The 12,748-nt window shown below is 44.2% G+C and overlaps 1 pseudogene, besides 1 other annotated feature; it reads left to right on the plus strand.

Moving 5' to 3' along the window:
* RPL7P51 (ribosomal protein L7 pseudogene 51) lies at positions 62-901 on the plus strand (annotated as a pseudogene).
* Positions 8,333-8,442: an enhancer, noted in NCBI's record as "active region_15027". NCBI's record gives its function as "activates an Ori minimal core promoter by ATAC-STARR-seq in GM12878 lymphoblastoid cells {active_cell/tissue: GM12878}" and the evidence as "EXISTENCE:reporter gene assay evidence [ECO:0000049][PMID:35858748]".

Consider the following 12,748-nt stretch of genomic DNA (forward strand, 5'->3'; position numbering starts at 1 on the left):
GGTCTGGGAGGTGTCCTGGGTCTGATCATGAAGAGATTTGGGAGCTCTCATAAGAAGTTCACTTTTTTCTTGTCCAGCTGGAACTATGGAAGGTGTCAAAGAGAGGAAGAAGAAAAAGAAGGTTCCTGCTGTGCCAGAAACCCTTAAGAAAAAGGGAAGCAATTTCACAGAGCTGAAGATCAAGCCCCTGAGAAGGAATTTTGCCCAAAAGATGCTTCGAAAGACAAGGAAGAAGCTTTTCTAGGAAAAAGCGAAGCACTATCACAAGGAATATAGGCAGATGGACAGAACTGAAATTTGAATGCAAGGAAGGCAAGAAAAGCTAGCAACTTCTATGCAACTGCAGAACCCAAATTGGCCTTTGTCATCAGGATCTGAGGGGTCAATGGTGGGAGCCCAAAGGTCCGAAAGGTGTTGCAGCTTCTTCGCCATTGTCAACTCTCCAATGGAAGCTTTGTGAAGCTCAATAAAGCATCAATTAACAGGCTGAGGATTCAGAACCACATATCGCATGGGGGCACCCAAACCTGAAGTCAGTAAATGAACTAACCTACAAGCGTGGTTATGACAAAATCAATAAGAAGCAAATTGCTTTGACAGATAACACTTTGATTGCTTGATAAATATGTAAATATAGCATCATCTGCTATATAAGGATCCAATTCATGGGACCTGTACTGCTGGAAAATGATTTGAAGAAATAACTTCTCGTAGCCCTTCAAATTATCCTCTCCACAAGGTAGAATGAGGAAAGAGACAACCCATTTTGTAGAAGGTGGAGATGCTGGCAACAAGGAGCACCAGATCAACAGGCTTCTTAGAAGAATGAACTAAGGTGTCTACCATTATTTATTTTTCTAATCTGGTCAGTTAATTAACAGTACCCACTTTCAAACTGAAAACAAAAACCTGACTTTTGCTGAGTGTATTAGCCAGGGTTCTCCAGAGAAACAGAATCAACGGGATGTGTCTGTGTGTGTGTGTGTGTGTGTGTGTTTATTATAAGGAATTGACTCACACAATTATTGAAGCAGAAAAGTCCCAAGATCCTCAGTCGGCAAGCTGGAGACCTGGGAGAACTGACGGTGTAGCTCCAGTCCACAAGCTTCCAGGCTGGAGATCCAGGAAGAGCCAAAGTTTCAGCTCTAGTCCAAAGGCAGGAGGAAACTCAGGTCCCAGCTTGCAGGTAGTCAGGCAAAAGGAGTTCCCCTTACTCACAGGAGCGCCAGGCTTTTTGCTCTATCCAGGCCTTCAACCAACTGGTCAAGGCTCACCCACCCTGGGGAGGGCAATCCACTTTACTCAAAGTCTACTGATTTAAATGTTAATCTCATCCCAAAACACCCTCACAGGAACACCCAGAATAGTATTTGAGCAAATACCAGGGCACTCTATGGCCCTGTCAAGTGGAGACCTAAAATTAACCATCACACTGAGCAAATTGTGAAGACAGGGGTTGAACAGAGAAGGGGCAGGATTTTATTTGTTTTTACCTGATCACTCTGCTTGCTTTCCTGAGACTAGACTCTGCTGAGCCATTGCAATGCTTGGGAGGTGAGAGGAGGGTGCTCAGGTCTCCAAGGACACAGTGGAAGTGGTGAGAAGAGGGGGAGTTAACAGTATTTGTCAACAGATTGGACACACATGGGAAGAGAAAGGAAAGGGCCACAGATAATGCTTGTTTTTGACCTGAGATGTTGCAGGCTTGAAGCTGCCATTGAGAGAAGAGGAAAAGACTTCAAGAGAAGAATCGGGAGCTCAGCTTGGGACACGTTGGGTTAGATGTGCTTATTAGACATACAAGTGGAAGGAAAAGGAAAGGGGTTAGATCTGTGGGTCTGGAATTTAGGAAAAATAGGAAAAAGTTCTGGCTGGAGACAAAAGTGGGGTCATTCATGTTCAAAGAGTGTCTGTAGTCATGAGCCTGAGTGACATCACAAAGAGCATGAGTTTATTTATTTATTTATTTATTTATTTAAGACATGGTCTAGCTGTCACCCAGGCTGGAGTGCAGTGGTGCAGTCATAGCTCACTGCAGCCTCAACTTCCCAGGCTCAAGCAATCCTCTCACCTTGAGTAGCTGGGACTACATGTGCACATCACCACGCCTAACTAATTTTTTTTTTTAAGTAGAGATGAAGGTTCCACTATGTGCCCCACGCTGGTCTTGAACTCCTGGGCTCCAGTGGTCCTCCGGCCTTGGCCTCCCAAAGTGCTGGGATTATAGGTGTGAGCCACAATGCCTGGCCAAGGCATGAGTTCAAATGAAAAAGGGACAGAGACCATCTCCAGGGCTTCCATGATCTGGATATCACACCCACTTTCCCACTGAAAATAACTAAAAATACAGGGAAGATAATTAATGCAAGTCTTCTTTAAACCATGGAATGGCTGACAAGAGAGAAAAGAATTTACAGTCAAAACTGTAGGAGATGGCGGGAACCAAGAGAGGGAAGCAGAGCACCAAAGTCACACGTGCCCTCCGGGAATTTTAAATGTGGGGAACTTGAATTTGGGGTTTCCTAGACCTGAGGATGAGAGTCAGACTATGCACCAGGTGTAGGGGAAGTGCAGGGTTCCTGGTCACTCTCTCTTTCTGCACACCCCCAGGCTCTGTCTAGGGAAATGAAACTCAAGTGCAGCCAACCCCACTCTCCGCCCCCATCCACCCTCTGACTGCTGCCCCATTCAATGGCAGGGAGGCCAGAAGCATCTCTAGGCTGGAGGAGACCCAAGTCCCTGCCCTGGAATCACCTCATTCTCTAACCCCATACTCTGATTCATCTACTAGGAGCGGGAACGCAGAAGAGATAAGTGAGCGGGAAGGAAGTTGCATTCAGAAGATACAACACATAGACATAAGCACTCTGATTCAATAGAAGAGGAAGTTTCCCCATGATGTCTCCAGCCTGGGTCCCCAGCCACCCTTCTGAGAGTATCTGAGTTGATGTGGAAATATGAACACAACACCACGCTCTTGGTGTCAGATCTCCAGCTCCAATGCTGAGTCCAATGTACAAATCTTGTAACCCTTGGCAGACTTGCCCTCATCTTCACTTCCTCCTCTACACTTTTGGGTTTTCCAAGTTTGAGGGAAAGGCAGAGGTCTCCAATGGCTCTGATCTCCTATGCAGTGGTGTTATTATTTGTTTGCTTGCTTATTTGTTGACTGCCCACAACCCAGTTCTTCACCCATAGCCCTATTTTATTTTCCTTTGGAGAACTACCACTATCAGCCCCATCCCTCACTTCAGCGGGGAGTCTGTGAATTGTGCAGGGAGCACTGTCCAATTGACATAGCTCATCACCAACAATGCTGCGGCCAATTTTAAGAACAAGCCCGTGTCCAATTGCCTCTAAAGATCCAAGTTCCAGGATTTTTGCCACACCTTCAGGAAAAATAGCTGTTCAGTTTCTCCCGGCATCCCTGGGTGGAAGAAATGTAAGCCTGCAGCTGCCTGAGAACAAAGTCAACAGAGGAAGGAAGAACTCTAGGGTTAACAAACGACAAAAAAGGATTTTAGAGACATCAACCAATTCTGGAACCTGCTGTGCCTGAAGCCGGTGTACTTCAGAACTTTTCGGCTAAGTGGGCCAATGCTTGGCTTTTATTTCCCAATAGGCCCATTTGAGCTAGATTGATCTTGCTTGCACCCCAAAGAGTTCTGCCTGATATAACCTCTCCCCTAGCCACTGTGTTCCACTTCCCCTCAGCTACTCTGCGTCAGACCCTGAAGCTGCCAAAAGCCTCCCTGTGAGACTTGATCTCAATTTCAGAGTTCACAACCCTTCCATGACTTTTGGGAAAGATCCTGACATGTGCCCCTCCCTTATAACAAGACCCTCTGTGACAGCCATCAACATAAAGTCAATTACCAGGCCTGGTGGCATGTGCCTATAGTCCTAACTGTTCTGAAGGCTAAGGTGGGAGGATTGCTTGAGCCTAGGAGTTCAAGATCAGCCTGGGCAATGTAATGAGACCCTGTCTCTACAAAAAATTTACAAATGAGGATTAATAACCAGAATACGTAAGGAGCTCAAACAACTCTAGGACAAAATCTAATAATCCAACCAAAAACTGGGCAAAAGATCTCAACAGATATTTCTCAATAGAAGACATACAAATGGCAAACAGGTATATGAAAAGGTACTTGGCATCATTGATAATCAGAGAAATACAAATCAAAATTACAATGAGATGTCATCTCATCCCAGTTAAAATGGCTTATATCCAAAAGACAGGCAATAACAAATTCTGGCAAGGGTGTAGAGAAAAGGGAATCCTTGTACACTGTTGGCGGGAAGGTAAGTTAATATAGCCACTGTGAAGAACAATTTTGAAATTCCTCAAAAAATTAAAAATAGAGCTACCATATGATCTAGCAATCCCACTGCTGGGCATATACCCAAAAGGAAGGAAATCAGTATACGGAAGAGATATCTGCACTCCCAAGTTTATTGTAGCACTGTTCACAAAAGCCAAGACTTGAAAGCAACCTAAATATCCGCCAACAGATGAATGGATAAAGAAAATGTGGTGCTTATACACAAGGGAGTACTATTCAGCCATGAAAAAGAATGAGATCCTGTCATTTGCAATAACCATGGATGGAACTGGAGGTCACTATGTTGAGTGAAATAAACCAAGCACTGAAAGACAAACTTTGCATGGTCTCACTTATTGGAGGAAACTAAGAATTAAAACAATTGAACTCATGGAGATAGAGAGTGGAAGGATGGGTTACCAGAGACTGGGGAGGATAGAGGGCATGGGGGAGGGGAGAAGGTGGGGATGGTTAATGGGTACAAAAAAATTGGAAAGATGAAATGAGACCTCATATTTGATAGCACCACAGGGTGATTATAGTCAAAAATAATTTAATTGTATATTTTAAAATAACTTAAAAAGTATAATTGGATTGTTTATAACACAAAGGATAAATGCATGAGGTGATGGATACTTCATTTACCTTGATGTGATTGTTACATGTTGCATGCCTGTATCAAAATATCTTGTGTAACCCAGAAATATATACACCTACTATGTATCCACAAAAATTTAAAAACTTAAAAATTAAACTAAAAATTAAAATTAAAAAATACAAAATTAGCCAGGTGTAGTGGTGCATGCATGTAGTTGCAGCTACTCAGGAGGCTGAGGCAGGAGGATTGCTTGAGGCCAGAGGTCAAGGCTGCAGTGAGCTATGATCATGCCACTACATTCCAGCCTGGACGACAGAGAGAGATGCAACCCTGTCTCCAAAATTAATTAATTTATTAATTAATAATTAAAATAATCAAAACCAGTTGTAAAAATAAAGAACAACTAAATGAGAACAAGGAAAGGCTATGTATTCAGTTCTTGCTATGACAAGAGAGTCAGCCACCATTATTTGTGTTCTGGCAGAGACTCACAGGCAGGCAGTGGAGTGGGAGAGCTTCATAGTGGGGAAAAGAGAAAACTTCAGGTGTGTCCTGATTGGAGGCTATTGGCCTGGGGAAGCTGTAGGTGAGCCAGCTAGAAGCAGGTAATCCTACATGATTGGGTTAAGAAACCATATCCACTTTCTCTGATTTGGTCCTAAGTAGAAAGTGGGGACAGAAATTAGGGAAGCTGTCAGTTATTAATCAAGTCCCAGGCCAATTTAGGGCCAATCGTTACAGGGATTATTGTTTAGCTTCCTGGACAGGTTACCAGAGACAAGTCTGGTTTATAGAGAGTAGCCTGGCTTCCTGAGCTGGTGACTGTGGATGATGGGCTGGCTTTTCACAGCTGGTTGCTGCAAATTAGGAGTCAGAGTTCTAGTTTTATATATGATCTGGCCATTTCTGCATGTATATTCAGGCTCTCACAGGGTAGGAGAGCAATTTTCCACATTCAAAAAGAGATACAAAATTTATTTCAGGGAGAAGACCTATATACTTGTTTTTCAAAACAAATCGATCACCTTTTTGGGTGTCTAAACAGTAAGCCCAGGACTAGCCTGGAGGGTGAGCTGAAGAACAGGCTAAATTTTCTCTGCATAATAGAATAATGTGAATCCTAAGATTGTGGCTGAGAGAGAAAAGACAGCAAATGTCCTGGTCTTGATGGCAATGGAAGTGGTGGGGACATGAGCTGGTGTTCTCTTTTGATAGATGGGACCCCAGCAGCCTGGTGACAGCAGACATACAGCCGGTACCAGGTTCTGTGGCGTGGAGATGGATGGTGGAGATTAATGTCCCATGTAGGTTGCTCTGTTAGGGCTCTGCCTACTGGACCTGGTGAGCTCAGCATTTTTGACACGTCTTTTGGGACCATTCACTACTGCTTTCCCCAAACTTTCTGTATGTTTTACACAATATCACTGGATTAAGAGGACCGAGGAATGCAAGAAGGAAGTGTTTGTTCCCATGTCAGGAGGAAAGAACAGCACTGTGCAAATGACAATTAGGAGAATACCGTTATCTACCGTAATCTTCCCAAATAATGTACAGGGTGGGAAGTTTGGGATTCACTGTACTTCTGTGGCTTGGGTTCCATTTATTTCCTTTAGACTTTAAAATCCTGGAAGGGTGCAGCATTGGGGGATCTCTGGTTTGCACCCTGCACAATGCAAAAATCCTTGAGGATATCAGTTTGGTATCACCATCATGTGGACATCATTGAAGGTAGGGAAGGGGAACTGAGAACAAAGGCAGAACCTCCCCACCCCCCTCCCCCGGCCCGCGTCTGAGAATGTGAAACAATGTTGTGAAGCTGAAGTATGGACAGGAAATGATGAAGGACTCCAACTAGCATAGGTATAGACCACAGGAAGGATGGGATACATGTTTGAACAGTGGTGGCATCAAGGCTGAAGAAGACACCAGGCACCTGTAAAGAGTCTCTCTCCTGAGGCAGGTGGATCACTTGAGGACAAGAGTTCGAGACCAGCCTGACCAACATGGTGAAACCCCGTCTCCACTAAAAATACAAAATTACACTTTGGGAGGCCAAGGCGGGCGGATCATGAGGTCAGGAGATCGAGACCATCCTGGCTAACATGGTGAAACTCCGTCTCTACTAAAAATACAAAAAATTAGCCAGGTGTGGTGGCGGGTGCCTGTAGTCCCAGCTACGCGGGAGGCTGAGGCAGGAGAATGGCATGAACCCGGGAGGCAGAGCTTACAGTGAGCCGAGACCGCGCCACTGCACTCTAGCCCGGGTGACAGAGCAAGACTCCATCTCAAAAAAAAAAAAAAATTAGCCAAGCGTGGTGGTGCATGCCTATAATCCCAGCTATTTGGGAGGCTGAGGCAGAAGAATCGCTTGAACCTGGGAGACAGAGGTTGCAGTGAGCCAAGATCGCACCACTGCAGTCCAGCCTGGGCAACAAGAGTGAAATTCCATCTCAAAAAAAAAAAAAGAAAAGAAAAGTCCCTCTCCCCTTGACTTGGCTTCCAGTGAGCAGGCAGGGTCTGGCTCCTCTTCGCATTTTGTTTGACTGGGATGGTTTGGAAATATTTAACTAATTTACACCACTAAAATATTGGGCCGGGCACAGTGGCTCATGCCTGTAATCCCAGCACTTTGGGAGCCGAGGTGGGCGGATCATCTGAGGTCAGCAGTTCAAGACCAGTCTGGCCCACATGGCGAAACCCCGTCTCTACTAAAAATACAAAAATAGCCATGTGTGGTGGCACACGCCTGTAAATCCAGCTATTTGGTAGGCAGTGAGCATGCCACTGCATTCCAGCCTGGGAGACAGAGCGACACTTTGTCTCAAAAAAAAAAAAAAAAGAAAGAAAGAAAAGAAAGAAGGAAAGGAAAGAAAGAAAGAAAGAAAGAAAGAAAGAAAGAAAGAAAGAAAGAAAGAAAAGAAAGAAGGAAAGAAAAGAAAAAGAAAGAAAGAAAGAAAAGAAAGAAGGAAAGAAAAGAAAGAAAGAAAGAAAGAAAAAGAAAGAAAGAAAGGAAAGAAAGAAAAGAAAGAAAGAAAAGAAAAAGAAAAAGAAAAAATTGGAAGACAATCTCACACTGACATGAAAGCCCCGACTTTCTTGGAAAATAGGAAGATGTGGTATCCTCACATGTAGCGATCAGCCGAGGCTGAGCAAGAACCAATCACCTTTACTTTGACGCACTCCCCACCATGTGCTATCATCTCCCTCTACTAAAGCCAAAGTCCAGGTGCGATTTGTCGGAATACTTGCCCAGTTGTTTTCCTTACACAAATCCACTTCCCTCATTTGCCGTAACTGCCTTGACCATGCAGAGGTTTGATTCAGGGGCACTGGACCTACCAAACAAAAGATATCGGATGTCTCTCTTTTTGGCTCATCAGCAGAGGTCAAGCTCCCTTGAGAAAGAAAAGGAAACCAAAGCCCAAGGGCTCCCCCTGCTGGACCCAGTGAGCTCAGCATTTTTGGCACATTACAGACGTTAAACTTGAAGAGACACATTCCCAAAGTATTAATGCGCAAGGCCAAGCCTCCAACGGAAATGTACAACAAAAAAAAAAAAAGAAGAAGAAGAAGGAAAATAAAATAGAATAAGACTTCTTGTCTCTGCTCGGACATGAGAAGAACTTCGAAGTTGTCACTTTTGTTCTTACAACAAGAAAAGGCTGAACAAACTGAGAATCAACAGCTTTTCTTAGACACGTCTAAAGAACTGCAGTAACACAGTGAATTACCATCCCCAAGTCTGGAGACACTGGCAAATCCAGAGAGTTACTAATGAGATCCATTTACACAGGGCAGAAGCTGCTGGAGTCACTAACTGGTGAAGACATTTGCATGGTAATTCTGACAAGTTGCTGCAGGCTGGGTAACAATTAGCTCAAGAATGATAAATTTCTACAGGTGTCAGTCTTAGGAGTCCCCACACTTTCGTGGATTTTACCTCCAGTAACTCTACCAGTGAAGAGCCCAGAAAGGCCCCCTAGCCCATAGCCCTGGTAGGGAGAAGGAAGAGTAACTGTTGTTAAGTATACCCAGAGCATTCTCCCCAACACAGGCCTATTCTCCAGGGATAAAGAATTTATTGGTACCTTCTCCCACCTGGAAGAAGGGATTTCTCCTGGCCGGGCATGGTGGCTCGTGCCTGTAATCCTAGCACTTTGGGAGGCTGAGTTGAGAGGAACACTGGAGGCCAGGAGTTCAAGACCAGCCCGGTCAGCATGGCAAGAAACCCCATCTCAAAAAAAAGAAGGAGAAGGAGGAACGAGGAGGAGGAGATTTTCTCCTGAATCCAGCACGGCACATTCTAGACTTCCTGTCTCACCTGAAATGAATGGAGAGAAGCTGAGAATCACTTGTGAATGCCATAACCCAGAGGCACAGGTCCCCTAAAAGACGGATATTTAATCGCAGCGTGTTTAATAATGACTTGCAAAGCTATACAGACCCTAATTCCTAGAACCTGTGAATGTGACCTGTGGCAAGAGAGACTTTGATGGTGTGATTAAGATTCTCAAGATGGGGAGATCATTTTGAATTACCTAAGTGGACCTTCAATGTAATTGCAAGGGTCCTTAAAAGACAGGCAGCAGGGCTGGGCGCAGTGGCTCATACCTGTAATCCCAGCACTTTGAGAGGCTGAGGCGGGAGGATCACGAGGTCTAGAGATCGAGACCATCCTGGCCAACATGGTGAAATCCTGTCTCTACTAAAAATACAAAAATTAGCTGGGCGTGGTGGCACGCACCTGTAGTCCCAGCTACTCAGGAGGCTGAGGCTGAGGAATCGTTTGAACCTGGGAGGCAGAGGTTGCAGTGAGCCTAGACTGTGCCACTGCACTCCAGCCTGGCGACAGAGTGAGACTCCGTCTCAAAAAAAAAAAAAAAAAGAAAAAGAAAATCTTCATCCCTTCCCAAGACAAAGCACGAATATTCCTCCCCTTGCTCTTAACGTTCAGCCCCTTCAAGAATGATACCCTATATCTGTAACTTCCCAGTTCTCAGGAGCTGAGAAGTTGATTTGTAAGCCCAGCTCCCACTTCCCCAATCCTGTAGCTGTTGAATGAAGCCTGCACTGCTCAATACTCACTGTTGGTTTCACATATTAGCTTCATGACTTGGAACAGGAAACAGTCCCCTTTCTAGGGTGACCAGGACCCCCAGTAACAAGATGGGTCTAGGAAGGAAAAGCACTGTGCACTCCCAGGCCCCAGCACCTGGGCTCCTGATTTGGGGAAGAATTGACTTCTTTAAATTATCAGATGTTCTGATCAGGCACGGGGGCTCACACCTGTAATCCCAGCACTTTGGGAGGCCAAGGCGGGTGGATCACTTGAGGTCAAGAGTTCGAGACCAGCCTGGCCAACATGGTGAAACCCTGTTTCTACTAAAAATACAAAAATTAGCTAAGCGTGGTGGCACATGCCTGTAGTCCCAGCTACTCGGGAGGCTGAGGCAGGAGGATTGCTTGAACCTGGAAGGTGGAGGTTGCAGTCAGCCGAGATCATGCCACTGCACTCCAGCCTGGCGACGGAGCAAGGCTCCGTCTCAAAAAATAAAAAATTAAATAAAAATTAAAAAAAATTATCAAATGTTCTAACTCATCAGCATGGTGTAGCTTGCCATTATTCAGGATGTTAATTCCTCTCAACAATGTGCTCCAGCTTTCAGTGTAGTGGTCTTGGAACCATTTTGTTAGTTTCACTTTTAAGAATACTGTGATTTGAGGTGCTATTTTAAAAGATACTGTATCTTAAGTTTAATTTTCTGATAGTTGCTACCAGAGATATAGAAGTGATTTCTGTATGTTGACTTTGGATGCAGCTGCTCCGCTAAATTCTCATAGTTATATCCAATTAGAGGATATTTTGGATTTTCTATGTACGTTATCTTGTCATTGAAAACAATTATATTTTGCTTCTTCCTTCCCAATCACTGTGCCTCTTATTCTTCCTGCTTCATTGAACCCGCTAGTAGTTTTATTACAATGTTGCATAAAGTGGTAATAACAGATATCCTTGTTTTTCTTGATCTTAGGGAAAAAGTGTTCAATTTTCACTATTCAGTATAACTGGAAGTCCATGCCACATAAATACAGTAACTTCAGTACCATTCACCAATAAAATTCTAGTTCATAGTTGTATTCAATGTATACATAGTGTTTTAATTTTTTTATTTTAAGAAACAGTCTCGCTCTGTTGCCCAGGCTGTAGTGCAGTGGCACGAGCACAGCTCATTGCAGCTAACTCCTGGACTCAAGCGATCTTCCTGCCTTAGCCTCCCAAAGAGCTGGAATTACAGGTGTGAGCCACCACAGCGCCCAGCCATTTAAAAAATATTTTTAATTCATGGATCACAGTTTAAAATTTGGAGCTCTCTCCCAGTAATCTGAATGCCTAACTTCTCTTGAAATAACTGACTATCTTGCATGCCCACGTAACAGCAATTAGCCCAGGGAAGCAGGAGCTGCCCCTCTTTACTATGCTGCATTCCCCACCAAGGGCTATGGTCTCCCCTGAGCTGAGGCCAAAACAAGTAGACTGACAAAGCTTTGTCAATATCTTGCCCCATTGTTTATCTTTTTGTTGTTGTTGTTGTCATTTGAGACAAGGTCTTGCTCTTGTCTCCCAGGCTGGAGTGTGGTGGCACGATCATAGCTCACTATAGTCTCCAACTCCTGGGCTCAAGTGATCCGTCCGCCTCAGCCTCTTGAGTAGTTGGGACCACTGGTGTGTGCCACCATGCCTGGCTAATTTTTTTATTTTTTGTAGAAGTGGGGTCTCACTGTATTGCCCAGGCAGGTCTCAAACTCCTGGGCTCAAGTGATCCTCCCGCCTCGGTCTCCCAAAGCCCTGGGATTACAGGTAGAAGCCACCATGTCCCACTCCCATTATTTATCTTACCCCAGTCCTACTTATTTTCTATACCTGCTTTTCTCTTGTAGGGACTCGACTGTGTAATTCCTGGGAAAACAGATGCACTGAGCCATTAAATAAAAATTCGTCTAGCTGAAATTGCTTGAACCTGGGAGGCAGAGGTTGCAGTGAGCCGAGATCGCGCCACTGCACTCCAGTCTGGGCCACAGAGCGAGACCCTGTCTCAATATATATATGTGTGTGTGTGTGTGTGTGTGTGTGTGTGTGTGTGTGTGTGTGTATATGTATATGTATATGTATATGTATATGTATATGTATATGTATATGTATATGTATATGTATATGTATATATTCCTCTAGCCAGGCTGGGTGCAGTGGCTCAAGCCTGTAATCCCAGCGCTTTGGGAGGCTGAGGCAGCAGGATCGCTTGAGCCTAGGAGTTCGAGACCAGCCTTGACAATATAGTGAGACCCCCCCCGCCCCCCCACCCCTCTCAAGAAAAAAACAATTCCTCTAGCCAAGGGTTTACTCTCTAACTTCATTTCTCACGGTGGATCCCTCTCAAGCAGAGTCCGGGAGCCAATCCACGTCCAATTGTGCCCCCTGCTGGACAAGGTCCACTTGTTCAGAGGAAACTTGCGGAGAGATGGAGAGCTCCAGTTGAGATGCTCCAGCTCCCTCTGCCAACACAGTTTAATAACAAGTAATAAAGTAGAAAAACAATATAGCATAAAAATAATTGAAAAATTATTTTAATTAATAGTATGAAACAAAAGAGATGGTAGATTAGCAGCTTGCTGCTAATAAGGAAATTAAATTTTCTGGTAAAATTATAATAAGCAATGGTAAGAGAACAGAATAAAAATAAAATGAGAAAATCTAGCAGAAATAATTAAGGAGATGATGACGATGAAAAAATAAAATTGAATTAGAGGCGTGAAATATAATACTTGG

Source organism: Homo sapiens, chromosome 19 (genome assembly GCF_000001405.40).
Source record: "Homo sapiens chromosome 19, GRCh38.p14 Primary Assembly".
Classification (NCBI taxonomy): domain Eukaryota; kingdom Metazoa; phylum Chordata; class Mammalia; order Primates; family Hominidae; genus Homo; species Homo sapiens.